Source organism: Homo sapiens, chromosome 6 (genome assembly GCF_000001405.40).
Source record: "Homo sapiens chromosome 6, GRCh38.p14 Primary Assembly".
NCBI lineage: Eukaryota > Metazoa > Chordata > Mammalia > Primates > Hominidae > Homo > Homo sapiens.
Genome location: NC_000006.12, coordinates 163,165,394 through 163,181,632, shown reverse-complemented (window position 1 = coordinate 163,181,632; position 16,239 = coordinate 163,165,394). Strand labels below are relative to the sequence as shown.

Here is a 16,239-nt window from a genome sequence, read left to right as displayed (position 1 = left end):
ATTTTTTTTTTTTTTTTTTTTTTTTTTTGCCACCTCAAGCAAATAATCTCTGATTCTCCCCTGTCCATGAGGACCCATTTCCAGGGGCAAATCCTCTGGGGGTGGACTTGTCCTTGGAAGGGGGAGGGGAGGGCCGCTGGCACGAGACACAGAGACTGGGAACAAGTTCACAGTGTTCATCTCCGGGGACTCACAGAAGAATGGAGAATTGGCTCTTTCATCTCCAGCCCCGGCACTGCTTTTCACTGCCCCTGAGCCTCTGCTGTCCCCAAGCGGCCGTCTGTATCACAGAGGTGGCCACAGAGATCGGGGCTGAGTGTGTGGGTCAAAGTTCCTAGGCTGCCTGTTTCAGGAGGTTGCATCACGTATTCTTTAACCCTTCCTTTGCAAGATAGCCCGAGGTATGGGAGTAAAATGGTCAGGCAAGTAGGTTTCAGGGTCAGTCTGACTCGGTTTCAGACCCTGGTTCCAGCGATAGTTATCAATGTGGCAGCAGGATCCCTCAGCCCCTTCTATCCCACACAGGTGCCCGCACAGCTGAATAGATGGTTTAGTGCTGCTTTGGTATCCGGAGAAGGCTGTTAACCTGAAGAGTTAGAGACACTCAGGCTGAGGTTGACCTATCTGGGTTCACACCCTGGCTCTGTCATTTGCAATCTGAGTGACTCTGGGTCAATGTCATAACTGTACGGAGCCCCAGCTTTCAAATACATGAAATGAGAATGAAAACGCCAAGCGGGTGAAACACACACAACGCTCGGTGCCTGGTGACTCCAGGAGACGCAGCGTTTGCTGTTAATAATTAGTGAATAATTTTTGAGAAAAGAAACATAAAATCAGATTTTTTGCCCATTTTTTTAACCTAAAGAAACAGTGCCTTTTTGGCCTCTACATGTTTGAAGAACCAAATAAGTGGCTCATAAGAGTAAAGGAATTAAACTGCTTTTTTTTTGTAACCATACAAAAAACCCCTCTTAAACTCAATGAATTTTTATTTTTATTTTTTTTGAGACAGAGTATCACTGTTGCCCAGGCTAGAGTACAGTGGCGTAATCATAGCTCACTGCAGCCTTGAATTCCTGGGCTCAAGCGATCCTCCTGCCTCAGCCTCCCGAAGTGCTGGGATGACAAGTGTGAGCCACTGCACCTGGTCCTCATTGAAACTTTTTAGCAGTGTTTTCCATACTCTATTTATTATAGGTGTATGATAATCTATGTAACAACCTATGCAAACTCATTCAGTGCACAGTATACAAGCTGTGTCTCGAACTAGTTAGTAGAACATCTTGTGAAGGCTTCGTGATATTTTAACGAACATACTTGTCACTAAACACAAATGGAGAGAACTGTTCATCTTCACAAGGATCAGCTCGGTGAGGGACTCACTCCTGGCTTTCTACTGGAGAAGTGGGCGTGCCTAGGAAATGCATCAAAACCAGAATCTCTAGCACAAAGCTCAGTCTCTTAAACAGAGATGCTGGTCAGCAGCCACAGCAAAACCCAAAATTATGTATGGCTTGGAAAGGATCACAATGACCAGAGCTGATCACTGGATAATGCAAGTAATTTCAAAGTCAATGTCGTCTTCAGAAAGACCACTTCAAGTCAGTGTAACCACTGGATAAACTACACAGGTAATAGCCAGCCAGGCATGTGTCCAGCACACAGGAACCTCCCAGGAGGGCTCGGCTGGGACACTGGACGGGGTGCCTGGCGGTTCCTGCCTGTGTGGCCTCGGGCAAGGAGACTTGCTGGTCTGGTCTGCGAGAATGTCATCTGTAAGTGAACGGGGGAGAATGAGACAGTAACTCAGAGCTTATACTTGGATCCCACCATAACACTTATAAAGGCTTACAGAGTGGATGGGAACTCATAGGCCATGCAAGAAAACTAGTGATGTAAGAAAATTTTTTTTTTTTTTTTTTGAGACAGATCTTGCTCTCTTGCTCCGGCTGGAGTGCAGTGGCACAATCTGGCTCACTGCAGCATCAAACTGCCAGGCTCAGATATCTGATTCTCCCATCTCGGCCTCCCGAGTAGCAGGGACTACAGGCACGTGCCAACACACCTGGATTACTTTTGAATTTCTTTTATAGAGACAGGGTTTCACCATGTTGCCCAGGCTGGCCTGGAACTCCTTCCCGGGCTGAAGCAATCCACCTTCATCAGCCTCCCAAAGTGTTGGGATTACAAGCGTGAGCCACCACGATTTGCCAGAAGTTTTTTTTTTTTTTTTTTAATTTAAAGAACACCAAATGAGTAGGTTGAAGCCAGGCTGCTCTGGGAATTCTGTGCCTCGTCTTGGGAGCAGTGGCTCAGCAAGGTGCAGGTGTGGTGGGAAGGAAGGCTGAGTTCCCCCAGCTGCCGCCTCCTTTCTGTCTCGCTTGTTGGCAGGAGAACCTACGGAGGAGCCCAGCCTCCAAGATAAGACGCACATGTGAGGAGCAGCGGACATCAGTGTGAGCCAAGCTACAAAGCTTTCCACTATAAAACCACGGTCCATGCCCAAAAAGGAAACCCACCATTGAAACCTAAGCTTCTTTTTGATTAAGTCCTGTGTGGTAAATATCAGTGACTTATTTCATCAGCCTGAAAATTCAGCTCATCACAAATGAAAAGTAAAAACTTTAATTCTATAAAAGGAGATAAAATTCAGCCTTTTTAAAGAAAGAGCTCTATCAACCCGAATAGGAATTGTTACTTGTAATTTAATCAAAATTCACTTATATTACCTGAGTGCTTTATTTTTGAATGGCAACTTAAAATACACCAGAGAGACTGAATTCCATGACCATCAGTGCCTACAGAATGCCAGATACTGTACCTAGTTCTTGCTTTTCTGTGGTGGGTGTGGGGAAGTTTGAGAAACCGGGTGCTGGATGTGATGGCAGCCACCGGGGAGCCTGGCAAGGCAGCTTCTCCTAGCAGTTTCATTAATGTTGTAGCATTAATGTAAAGATTAAGTTTGGCCGCATGTAACAGAAAATTCAACATAATACTGGCTTAGGTAAGACAGGTGTTTAATTTCTCTCCTGTCAGAAAAAGTCCAGAAGGAAGCAACCAGGCTACCATAAAGTGCAACGGCTCTATGAAGTCAGAGAAGAACGGGGCTTCTCCTACTTTAATACTAAAGTTTCCTGCATGTGTCTGTGTCTCAAGATTACTCCATAGCCAAAGGTGGCTGCCGGAGCCCGGGCCTTCTCGTTTGAGTTCCAGGCTGCAGGAAGGAGAAGGAAAGGACAAAAGATCCGCCCCTGCCAGTTGGAGTCTACGCAGCACTTCCCCTTGTCCCTCTGACCATAAGATCAGCACGTCCGTGCCACGCCGAGCTGTGAGGGTGGCTGAGAGCTAGTCTTGTTGCTGAGGGTGGTGCCCAGAATTGCATGGGGCGTGCTCATGAGGCAACAAGGTGGGAATGAGCATTCCCAGACCCTGCCTCTGCATGCACTTCAACAAGGGACTGCAGCCCTGGTGCCAGGCAGGGAGCCCTCCTTCTCACAGGCCCACTGGCTTCAGCTGGCCTCGTGTTTCTCCTGGCTGAGCTCCGTCTGCTCTCCGTTCCAACTTTCCTTCCTGTTCTGGAAGCTTGGTAGTGGGAACACTCCTTGTTCTGTCTTGAGTCCCCAGCCAATGACCAGGTTTGAGCCTCTTCTAAGTGTCAGTTGGTGAACAAGACAGAGCAGATTTGTGCCTGTGGTGAACAAATGGTCCAGCAGGGAAGAGAAGCGTTGACCTGTGGCCACAGTTCCCACCTGGGGGTGCATGGAGGGAAGCGTGTGTGCTGTTTGGAAGCATGTGTGCTGTTTGGACGTGCTTGGAATGGAACCTGCACAGGCCTAGGGCACGTTTCTCAGACTCTTCTCCTTGCAGAAAAACACGGTCGAATCCCACCCGCAAAAAAAAAAAAAAAAAAAAAAAAAAATCCCTTTTCTAATTTCTTAGCTAACACTCTTTTAGTCTCTCCTTCCATTATCCCAGTTTCTCACGAGAGGGGGCTTTATGATCCGTCACTCCCCAGGCCACACCTTGGCCCTGTTGCCTGGCTTCTGTCCCCGCAGCCTCCTGTAACTTGTGGAGCACAAACCCTCCACAGCCTGGAGCCTTTCTTCACGCTTGGTCTTTTATTTTCTTTCCTTTGTGTAGCTCTCCACATTGTCACTCAGACCCTGGTTCTGAAAACTCTGTTCCCTAGGTTTCTCTGATGTGAGACTCTTCCAGGTTTCTCCTCCCAGCTCTGACTTTCTAAGTCACCCTCAGGCTCATCTTCTGTCTCCATCCCTCTCTCAAATGGACATGCTCGAAAACAGAGGGCTGTTCCTGGCTCACTTTCCTTCATTACCAGAAGATCTTTGGTAATTGTACTCAGTTTAACATTTCCAGTTACTGGTTTCATGTGGACACTCCCAAATATCTCTGTCTGTCTCTATCTCCCTGGGCCGTATGTGTAACTAACTGCTAAGCTGTGTGTGCCTTGGGGCGTCTGTTATGTTGTTATTTCTGTGCACTGTTTTAAGCATTTTATTTTCCTCTTAGTTTCCACTGCCACTGTCCTAGTTCTGCCTCTTGCTCTTTGTCCCGGATACAGCAACAGTCTCCAGGCTGGCTCACCTGAATCCACCTCAACTCCCTAAACTCCTTATGGAGGGCTGTCACTCCCCTCCAAACAGAAGCCCATGTGTGATGATGTCACTTGCCTATTTGTCAGTATTCAACGACAGCTGACTGTCCCAGATTCCTGGGCTTGTCATTTAACACCCTCCATTATTTCTTGACTTTCCCTCTCTCCAGCCTTTTCCATGCAACTTCGGCTGCAAATTTGTTGTTTATGTTCAAAGACGTTACTCACGCTATTTCCTTAGCCTAGAATATATTTCTTCCACCTGCCCAGTGTCTGAAGTCCAAGTGAAATGTCTTAGGAAACCTTCTCTCATCTCTAGAGCCAGGCTCCAAGAGCATTTCATCTGAATCACTCTCACGGTCTACCACATACGTTAACTTTGCAAACTTGACTGCAGTCTCTTTAAGGACAGGAATTTTGTCTGAGTTTCTCCCCTTTTTTGCCTTCGTCTTTCCCTCCCCCCTTTCTTTCTTTTCCAGCTTTTAGCACAATGCTTTTTAGCCTGGTAGGTTTCAATAAATATTTGAGTAAACAAATGATAATCAAAAGCAAAAGAGTCAAGGGCATAACGGGGCTAGTTTACTGCCTGTGTGGTGAGCATTTTCCTTCTGTCTGGTTGTTTCTTCCTTTGTTCTCCATTAATAGGGAAAAGTGTCACTTATGAAAGAATAGGAATGTTTTACACTTTGTGACTTATATCAAGATTGCACAATTTTTATTGTTGAAGCAACTGTGAGCAGGAAAAGAGAACCAGTGAAGTGTTAGTATCTTTGTTCTGATCACCTTCTGTGTCCAAGAACAGTCATGACTGCCTAAAGAAATAAAGAGGCCGTTCAAAGGAAAAGGTGAGATTCTCTATGCAGACTATAGAAGAAACCCCCACAAGTTGGGGGGTGGGGGGCAGGTAAGACGGAGAAACTGACATCTTACAATTGCTCTTAACGGGTCTACTTGTGTTTTGTTGTTTCTTTGTGTAAGGTTACTTTGACTAGAAGCCCAAATCTCTGAACTAGATAAATAAACAGAATAGACTCATTACCTGGGCTATGCACCAGAGAACTGAAACACAAACTGTGCTTTAGATTGGGAATGATTCGAGTATCTGAGATTGGAAATACAAAATTGAAAAGGCCCATTTATCTTTTGATCCACTATGACCCAGAGGCAAAAGCTTGGGTTATGAGTTAAAAATGCTGGGATTCCTCAGTGGAAATTGAGCCTGAGAAGCAGAGCTCCTCCTCCTCCTCCTCCTCCTCCTCCTCCTCCTCCTTTGACAGGTGCTGCTCAGATCTCCCTGGACTCACACTCCTTGATGTTTCACAGTATCACAGGCCAGGCCTCAGGAAACCCTGGTTCCACCTGCAGCTCACCTGCTCCCGACATTCCGTCCCTCCCCACTCCCCCTTATGCACCCCAGCAGCTGCTCACCACTTCCCAGCACCTAGAGCTTTTACACAACCCCGGGGATACCAGAAAGCCTCAGTGGCATCCCACCAGAAAGAACTGTTACCACAATCCCTCAGGAGCAGTAGAGTCACAGGTGGCTGGGGGGGAGTGATGTCCTTTAACCACTCCCCCCAGCCTTCACAGGTCCCACTCCCCCGCAAGCCAACCCCAAATGAATGCATCATTTGAGTAAACACTCTATGCTCCCTCTGCAAACAAACAAAGCTTCAACAGAAGTCTCTTCAGGTCCCTCCCAAACAGATGGCTCCACCCCTAAGATATTTGGGAGCTGACATTGTTCCCCAAGCTTTAAAGTTAGCTGTTCTTCCCTCCCCAGCTCAAACCTAATTATCTTAGGAGGGCAGATCGGAACGCAGTAGAAAATACTAGTCCAGTTCCCCCTTTTCCTAGTGGTCAAACAGATATCAGCAACCATTTCTGAGAGGTATAGAGTTCTGGGTTAGGAAACAGGATGAGAGGCTAAAATAATTTCACCTATTGGAGATTAAGAAAGTTTGTAATCATACAAAGTAGATGACGCAGTAACATGGCCCTGTACAAAAAGTCCACCTGGTTGATATTTCGACTCTGCTACAACAAGCTGTACTGTGGACAAACATTTTGTCTTTCTGAGCCTTAGTTTCTTCATGTATCAAAGGTGGAAATAAAACCCCTCTATTTATTTACGTGTGCTGTGAGGACTCAATGAGACAGTGGAGGCAAAGCACCTACTGTCCTTGGTGTCTCAGGTGGTAGCAGTGGCATTAGTGATGGTAACAGTAACAATAATGATGATGATGATGGAGACGGTGCCCAGCTGTTTTCACCTTGAATGAGAATTGAATAAGAAGAAATTGACAAACTCTTCTGAGAGGTTTAAGTTGAATATATGAAAAAGTTTCCCAACAATGATGATTGACAAACTCTGTACGAGTCTGGGATTCTCCTGCGATGGTCCTTAAAATAGAGACCCTTACTTACTAGTTAGCAATGGCTTTGGTATGGTTTAGCTTGAAGGCAATGAGATAGACTGGTTCATTTTTGAAGGCACTTTCTTGCACTATGATTCTATACAGTCTCTCTATGGTAAAAACAAAGTGATATTCAAAAGAATAAGGAGTCTGTGACTCTATGACCAGGCACTGGGAACCTGAAGTTTTGGGTCATATTCAGAAGTTCCCACTTCTCTCTTCTATGCCCAGACTGAAAAGCAAACTGATCCTCGAAAGCAAGCTTGTCCAACCCACAGCCCATGGGCTGCATACAGCCCAGGATGGCTTTGAATGTGGCCCAAAACAAATTCATAAACTTTCTTAAAACATTATGAGATTTTTTTTGCAATTTGTTTTAGCTCATCAGCTATCATTAATGTATTTTATGTGTGGCCCAAGACAATTCTTCTTCTAATGTGGCCCAGGGAAGCCAAAAGATTGGGTATTCCTGCTCTAAAGTAATCATGAAAGGATATTCTACATAAAAAATCACTTCCAGCTGAGTAGAATTATTTGAAAAAAGTGCGGTGCGTGGCTACACATTTCTGAGGCATGCATTTTCTTGCACAGAGTAGTCAAAGGACGACTTGATTACTTCAGATTTTGTGCCTTGAGTCATAACTGTGCAGCTGATACGTGCTCCAGGGAACAATGACGTCCTTTAGTATTTACCTCTCCTTAACATCTGAAGCCCAGAGCACAGAGCGATGCCTTTGGCTATGGAGAGGACAAGGCACCAACACTCTAACCCCAAGGTTTTAACTAGGAACTTATGAAGGGCCTGTCAAATAGAGGTGAAAGCTCCTGAGCTGGGAACTTGCAGACACCCATTGAGGTGCCCTCTAGTTTTCAGGGTGGAGAGGGCGACCTTGAAAATATTTCCTATGGAAAAGGAAGCAGCAACTTCAGCCACACCCACGTTCTGGAGGTCCTGAGGCAAAAACCATATGCCACTTGCGGGGGAGAGCGGAGAGCGTGATTCTCTCATCAGTGAGGACGAGCCCACCTTACTGCAGGGCTCAAAAGCCTCAAGCCATGGTCTAGAGGAGAAACCACCTATGCCTCTAAGGGGGACATTCATGCTTCGTTTTCTAAAATGGGTTGCAGTATCTTTATAACCCTGGCTGCAAATCCTCTACGGTTTTGGCCTGGATGGGATGAGATCAGGTGTGGAAGGTCTCTACCCCAAGGAGCCACTGTTTTTGGAAATGCCAAAACCTCCCTGTTATTTTCTAATTTGTTTTTAATTGGTTCATAAGTGGAATAGAGGTTTATATTGTAAAGAAATTTAGAGATAATCTAGACCAATCCATTATTTTTATTTTCAAAATAACTTAGTTTTTTGATGATGCAGTTTATTATGGAAGAGATGGCAAACAGAGAGGGATAAAGAAAAATGATCCTGTGTAATCTCCCTCCTCAGAAATAGCCATCATTGCCACTCAGGTGTATTTCCTAACGTGTGTGTATTCACACAAGCACATATTTTTACACAACTAAGACTGTATTATATGGTTTTATACCTTGTTTTTTAACTTAATTTTATACCATGATGATTTTATCATGTTCTTAGATACTCTCCACTCATTTAAATGGTGATATAATATTCCATTATGAGAACAAAACATGATTTAGCCATTTTCATATTGGTAGACATTTAACTTATTTTCATTTTTCACTATTATTAAAAACAGATTGAAAATATCTAGGCATTCAAGCCTCTTTCTATCTTTGATATTTCCTTAGGCTTAACTCCTAGAATTCAAATGATTAGGTCAAGTTTTTTAATATTTTAAAACCTAATTGGCACACCAGTCTCTGTTTTAGAGATTCGTAATTGAGGCCAATGACATTTAGAACTTTCTGGAGACCGCACAGTTCTTAGTGTCACACAGTGTCCTGAGCCCAGCTCCCTGGCCCCCAGATGTGAGTTCTCGCATGTGTTTCAGGATCCACCAGAAGTCAAGAGAGCAAGAAATTGTGTTAATCAATGAACGCTGCATTCTTCTTCCCAGAAAAGAAAAATCCACAAAAGTGTTTACTCCTCCTCAGGTTGTATGTATGTGTGCGTGCATGCATGCGTGTGTGTGTGCATGTGTACACTAAAACAAATTATTCCACGGCCTGAATCAAAGAGGCTTTCTCTGGGGCAACTTTCTGTTTCTCCTAATGCTTAAGCAAAATATACTTTCTGGCAATTAAAATAATTAAAGTAACAAAAATCCCATCATCTTTGTTGTATTTTTGGTAGCTTTCTTTAGAGAATCAGGTGTGAAGTTAAGGTCTGCTCATTTAGGTTGAGGGGGTGGAAATGTCTGAGCTGATCAAGGTAGAGGAACTGGAAATTTCCAATGCTGGCTACAAGTCTGAGACATTAAAAAGCAATTTGCAGGTTTTAAGTATATACCAAGAGGCACTTGGCCTTGTTTTAAAATAATAACTGCAGCTTAATAAAATGTAGAAGCTTAGAGCTTCCTGGGATTACAGTGAAAGATATTTCTATGTTTGGAAGCCTGTTCTGTAATTTGCACACTTACGGGGCCAGACCCCAGGTAGACAGGGCCCTAGCTGGGGGCAGGTCCATTAACTTTTGTGCCAGGTTGATGGACTTCTTGTTTATTTTGGTATAAAAATAAATCCATGGTAGAGTCTGTGATGGAAAATGTCCCCTCCCCACCCAGCTGCTCTCACAGGGGAAAGCTGACTTTTCCACACTCTCAGAAGGGGTCCCCACAGGCAGTGCTACCGACTTGGGCCAGCTGCAGTCCAGGGTCCCGACCCATGGGCTCATGCTCCACCAGGGAGGAGACAGTTGTTTTTCAGTCTGTCTGTGTTTCTTCTCCTCTTTTCAGTCCTCTGTATACATCTACTACCTTATCACTGCCCAGCTGGCCACAGCTGATGGAAGGGCTTAGTTACTCTCATGAGAAACTGGGGGGAAAAGTTATTTTATCTCTAGATTAATTTTGAACTTTTTGCACTTGAGAAGAGCTATAATCGTGCTAGGATTGGTACATCATTGGGAGTAGATAGGAGCCTATGCTTTAGATCAGATAGTTGTGTGGTCATGGGCAAATTGCTTAACCGCTCTGAGCTTCAGCTTCCTCATCTGTAAAATGGGCAGAACAGTCATACCTGCCTCACGGAGGGGCAAAGATATACAATAAGTGAGCAAAAGCAGATAAACGGCTTAGTGGACACACAGCCTGGTGCCCAGTCAGCACTCAGTCAATGCCAGCTCTTCTTGGCTATTGCAATGTGGGGATGCTCTCTTGGGACTTCCCCCTTTGATCTGTGATTTTTTTTTTCTTTTCTTTTCTCATCTTGACTACTAGGTGGCAAGCTTCTTTATCTTTCTTCAAAATTCTCTGCAGCTAACATTACATTATAATGATCATTTAGTCACTAATACTACTTGTCATTGAATGGATTCATAATATAGCCAGCATGTTCTACTTTGCTTTTAAAAATTATGGTCGAACCTGCATTTTAAATCTTTTGAGACATCAAAACAAAATTAAAGTTTACTATGAGTTGATGCAAAAGTCTACATGCTCACATTTTGCAGAAAAGCAAGTCTAACTGTTTGAGAGTTTTGCTATAACCTAGCACTAGGCGATATCCTTTTACTTCACTATAGTTCATTTGATGAGCTGACATTAGGAGCTACAAATGAAGTAACACGGACTCGTACTGGTAAGAAGAGACTACAGATGAAAAGGAGTGGGAGAATGAAGGAGGGAATAAAAAGAAAGGTCTAAGCGATAAAAGAAGTAGGAACTGGAGCAACCCTGTAGAAGATCAGTGAATCGGCTGAGAGTTGGTTTTGGAAAAGTGAAAATAACCCAGATGCATAGACTGCGTGGAATCGACAGCAAATAGAGACTGCCCGGCAGTGCAAGGTGGGGGAAGCTGGACCACTTGAGGGCTGTTTCTATCAGATGCCAGGCTACTTTCCAAGCTACCATAAGATTTAGAATAAAAGCAGGGCGAACCCTGTGGCAGCGGCTTGTGTGGCACAACAGAGTAGGGTGAGTCCTTGAGAGAGTAGGGGCGGTCCTGACCCCAGCGGGAGCAGGGGATTCTGGGTAGTTTTCAAAATGGAGGCTCGCCCTCTAGTGGTGCCTGGAGAGAATTGCGGGCACATGACCCTCAATCTGATGTTCAGCAGGGGTGAGTCCCTATAGTTTAATGCTCCGAGCTGACGGTGGGCCAGGCAACCAGAGATGCAGAAAGCTGATTCCTGCCCTCAGGGATTTTACAGGGTGAGAACAACACGGAACAGGCCATTTCAACTCATACTCAGGTCCCATCTCTCTTGGGGGACCTCTTGTTCCCCGCTCTAAGCCACAGCCTCCTCTTCCTCCAGCAGTCTCACCCCTCAACAGTTCCCTTCCCCGCAGGGCAACTGCCTTTTTCTGGTTACGGGCTGAACTGTCACCTTTCAGCCTCTAAAATTCCTATGTTGAAGCCCTGACTTCCAGCTCCTCCGAAAAATGTGACTGTATTTGGAGAAGTGTCTTTGAGGTAATTGGGGTGAAATGAAGTCACATGGGTGGGCTCTAATCCTTATAAAAAGAGATAAGGACACAGACAACAACACACAGACGGAGGGACGACCCTGTGAGGACACAGCGAGAAAGTGGCCGTCCACAAGCCAAGGAGAGAGGCCCCATGAGAAACCGATCTTGCTGACACCCTGACCCTGGACTGCCGGCCTCCAGCACTGTGAGAAAGGACACGAGTGTTGTGGAAGCCACCCAGTTTGTGGCTGGCTGGGCAACCAGAGCAGAAGAAGGCGCTCCCCAAGTCTGTATGGCCCCTCCCCGCCCAGCCTGCCCAGCGGCCTCTCTCTCCTGAGCCGTCTGGCCAGCTCCTCCTAGCACATTCTAGACATGGCCTTTGCCACACTCCTCCTGCTAATTCCTAATCTGGGATAACCAAACCAGTGGTCACATGAGAATTCCTGCTCTACAGCCTGGCTGCCGTAGGAGCACAGCACGCAGCCGTGTGAAGTGGGGCCAGTTCCACACCCGCAACAACAATTCCCCCATCCCTGGTCAGTACCACACGTCCAGCTCCATGGCTATTCCCAACCCGCACCTCTCGTCCTGAACCACCAGTGGTATCTTTGTTCTTTCGCCCCACAGTTGACCCGAATCTTGACTTCCTTTGGAAAATCAGACATGGATTTCCTCACTCACACTGACAGATGCAGCTCTGCCTGCTCCCACCGACGCCTCATTTTCTCCAGGCTGAGGAAAGGTGCTCTCTTTCCTTCTCAGATGAGATCCCTGAACATCAAATGTGACTCCATGAACCGTAGTTTACTTTATCATAATACACGCTTCAGTGAGACTCATCCTGATCATCATGGTTTTTATCAATTAGAAAAAGGACAACTGGGATTAGCCTTTCATTCAAATCAACACTGCTTCTCATCTTGAGCTTTTCATGATATTTGCTCAAAAGAAGACTTAGAAGAGCACCTAGAGGAAAACTAAGAACTAATAACACAATTAGGACCATGTGGACCCCACTTTCCTTCTGGGTTTTAAAAGAAAGAGGAAATAACTGCATGTGTTATTAAATTGATTAGCTTCACTTCTGGTCGCTTTTATTCAAATATGGATATCTTTTGCAGGTGGTAAAATCAGTGTATTAACTTTCAAACTTTCAGACTGAAAGTTGATCCATATTTTGCATTAGAATATTATGGCCACAAGCTCCAGTACTCCATATAAATGAGGAAAGAAAAACATGGTGATAAATATTTAACACTTCAAAAATTCCCATTTAAAATATTCAGTGTAGATGATTGGAGAATATGGTTCACAGGAATAAAAGAACTTTAAATTTGTTCTTTTGGTAAAGGTGGTCTTTCGTTTGATTATATTGAAAACCCACACTCAGTCTCAGACATAGATATAATAATGAATTACATACAGTTGGGCCAAAGGAAAGTAACATTTTCAACTAATTATGGTGAAAGTCATTTTCAGAGTTCTTGTTGTTGTTTTATTAGAATAGGAGTTAAAGCAGATTTCATGCAATGCTTTAACAATTTTTTCTTTTTCTTTTTTGAGACGGAGTCTCGCTCTGTTGTTCAGTCTGGAGTGAGGTGGTGTGATCTTGGTTCACTGCAAACTCCACCCCCACCCCCAACCCGCAACCCCGGCCCCAGGGACAGGCAATGCTCCTGCCTCAGCCTCCTGAGTAGCTGGGATTATGGGTGCCTGCCACCATGCCCAGCTAATCTTTGTATTTTTGGTAGAGACAGGGTGTCACCATGTTGGCCAGGCTGGTCTTGGACCTCAGGTGATCCACCTGCCTCAGCCTCCCAAAGTGCTAGGATTACAGGCATGAGCCACCACACCCGGCCAAATGCTTTAATAAATGTTTATTGGAGTGCCCATTCTGTTTTCCTACAGGATACTTTAGGCATCTATGATGTGGACTTTGACCTGTAATCACATCAAGGGATATGCCATGGACAGAAAATATTTAAGGTCAAGTTCAAAGACAGTGTACAAAATAATATGAAAATACATACAATCAATTGATAAAACAAACACCGCAGCAAAAAATACTATGTTCAATTGGAAACCTATGGGAACTATCGGAAAGAGTAGCTGCCACAATCTGAATGATAGTTATATGATTAGTGACAGCAGTTCACTTTTGTGTGCTGTCTAATAGTTTACAAATCACATTCACAGGCAGTTATTGTCAAAAATGGCTTCAAGGAGATAGCAGGGTTGGTTTGAAAGGAAGTGGGACTTCAAAAACCTTACAGAGCTTTAAATTTTTTCAGAGTTTTGAGCAGAATCAAGACAATTTATTAAGTGAATCTAGCCCTTGATTCTATGACAAACTAAAATTTCTATTTTTTTCATTTTAGAAAAATAATAGCTTTCCTGTTTAATCATGATCAAAATGATACAATTTTATGTTATTACTTTTTACCAAGTCACATCTCCTTCATTTAGCTAGATTTGAAAATTTTGATATGAATATTATTGACTTGGGAAGATTTACAACTAGAAGGAGCTCAACATAGTTATAAAGTATTTTCATTTCTAAACTATGTTACATTTTATTATTCACATGAGTCTCAAAACAATGCCATGATATATCAACTTGGCAAAGAACCCTGAAGGATATAGCATAGATCAGGGTTACTTAATGAATCAGTGATTAAGCTGCGACCCTCTGATGCTTTCTGGAGGCGATCAAACTGCCCTCCGAAAAATTTACAGAATTTTTACATCTCATTAACAAACTACAAAGAGGGCTTATCGCATATAGGAAATAAAAATTCTATAAGTATTCATAAAATTTAATCATAATAATGGCAAACTATAAGCTTAAGGTTTCTTCTGTCTGGTAGGTAGAAATCATAATGGATATAACTTTGTGTTTTACCAGCAAACTGGAACAACAGCTTTTTTGATTGTGCAGACATTTTAGCCCTCCTTTTGCAATAGAGATTAACAGACCCAATAGCATCATCATCCAAGTTGTCACAGTGAGACATATTCTGCTAATGAGAAGCTATAATTTCAACTGTTGGAAAAGATGATCTGAACTTTATTTGGATAGAAAAGCATGCAGATTTTTAACACAAATATAATCTATGATTCTTTCTTTGGATTTCTTGGAATTCAGTAAAGGACATTACGGTGGACTAGGTTTGCAACAAAATAACAAATAAAAAGTATTTTGTCAGATATGGAATTTTGTCCAATTTTATACTCATTCAGCCAGACACTATATAGTAATAAGTAGACTATGCTTAATTCAAAATGGAATATTTTACAGTGACATACTTGGTAAACATATCCCCTACCAGCACAGATGGCATAAAAATGCTTAGTGATTCTTTTTTCAGACTTCATGTCATGCTTTGGGAAGATATGGCTGAAATAAATACATTTTATTTTGCTTTGTGACATTTTTCCATATGATTTAATTATACAGAAGGGCACATGACAGAGCTTCACTATTAAGTGGGATCCATTAGACGCTTAAGAGCAAATTCAAATCTTTTGTTGAGCACGTTTTTAGAAAATAAATTGTGCACGCCATGTAAATAATATGACATTTGGTTGCAGTCAATTTGGTTTATGTATTTTGCCCAAAGGAACAGGTGATTCAAAGTTTAATCTGCCCCTCGTCTACTTATTCTTAATAACTTGGCACAGTAAGCAGTTCTTGGGGTATCAATATACCAATTAACAAAATAATTCTTTCACTGCTGTTGAAATAAAGGGCCGATTCTAATCTACATTTTTTTGTTGTTGTTGTTGAGCAGGGCAAATGGAACAAACAAAACAGTCAAAGAGGAGAGCAGGGAGAGAAGACAGATTCAGTGTTGCCCTCGGCAGATGCAGAGGAAACGAGCACAAAACCCTTTCACATGTGCCGGGCGCAAGCGACGCTGCCCAGAAACCCCGCGCCAAGCCCTGCAGCCGAGGAATTGGAGCTTCTGTGTTACTCCAAACAATGCATCTGTCTTTCATTACACTCGGATTTAGATGAAATCGGGGCGCTTGTGGGCAAACCAGTGAAGATTTCAAATAAGAGAAATTGTATTATATTAGAATCATAACGTTTTAAAAATAATTCTGTATTGAAGGAAGTTTTTAAAGAATGGCTAATGGTGCCTTAGATGCAATGAAGCCCTTTCATTCGTTCTCTCCCCCTGTCGCCCCATTCTCATCTTCACTGTCCTAAATGAGGCCTCCCTGGTCCCCTCGCCTGGGCCGTCACAGAGGCCTCTGAGTGATGTTTCTCCTCCCAGCTTTCCCCTTTCTGCCAGGCTCCCTCCCTCCAGTTAGCTTCCCGAAGCCTGGACAGGGTGAACCGACTTGAAGGCTTGAATTTGAGCCCCCTCCTTGCTCACCCCACGCTGGGCCAGCGCCTCTCCCCTGGGTTACCCTAGTGCGCTGTGCTTACCCGGATCTCAACACTTATCACAAGGATGGAGGTTTGTGGCCATTTCCCCTTTTTCCCCCTGAGACAGGGGTCTCCACAGGGGTGGGGCTTTGACCCCTTTATGGGTGTATTCTTGGTACTGGTTCCTCCAGGCAACCAATAAATATCCACTGGCTGATGGGATGAGTGATGTCACTCCCCATCCGCGGTTCCTCACTGAGATTTGGTGCGTTCTTTGGGTTGTAG

The 16,239-nt window shown here is 43.9% G+C and overlaps 1 protein-coding gene across 7 annotated transcripts in view, besides 2 other annotated features; it reads right to left on the bottom strand.

The window, feature by feature from the left end:
* The window catches only part of PACRG (parkin coregulated), a 588,369-nt gene that overhangs the window by 133,868 nt on the left and 438,262 nt on the right, over positions 1 to 16,239 (bottom strand). The window contains exon 5 of one of the 7 annotated variants that reach the window (XM_011535468.3): positions 2,237 to 2,417. The exons of the other annotated variants lie outside the window; for them this stretch is intronic. Within the exon in view, the coding sequence (XP_011533770.1) occupies positions 2,401 to 2,417 (17 nt within the window). The 3' untranslated portion in view covers positions 2,237 to 2,400. Of the gene's footprint in view, positions 1 to 2,236; positions 2,418 to 16,239 lie in introns of those variants that run through there. 7 annotated transcript variants of the gene reach the window in all.
* Positions 66 to 646: an enhancer, noted in NCBI's record as "H3K27ac hESC enhancer chr6:163602019-163602599 (GRCh37/hg19 assembly coordinates)". NCBI's record gives its function as "activates a minimal SCP1, AML or CMV promoter by ChIP-STARR-seq in naive H9 embryonic stem cells {active_cell/tissue: H9 hESC(naive)}" and the evidence as "EXISTENCE:reporter gene assay evidence [ECO:0000049][PMID:30033119]".
* Positions 142 to 436: an enhancer, noted in NCBI's record as "tiled region #10544; HepG2 Activating DNase matched - State 5:Enh, and K562 Activating DNase unmatched - State 5:Enh". NCBI's record gives its function as "activates a minimal TATA promoter and a strong SV40 promoter by Sharpr-MPRA in HepG2 and K562 cells {active_cell/tissue: HepG2 | K562}" and the evidence as "EXISTENCE:reporter gene assay evidence [ECO:0000049][PMID:27701403]".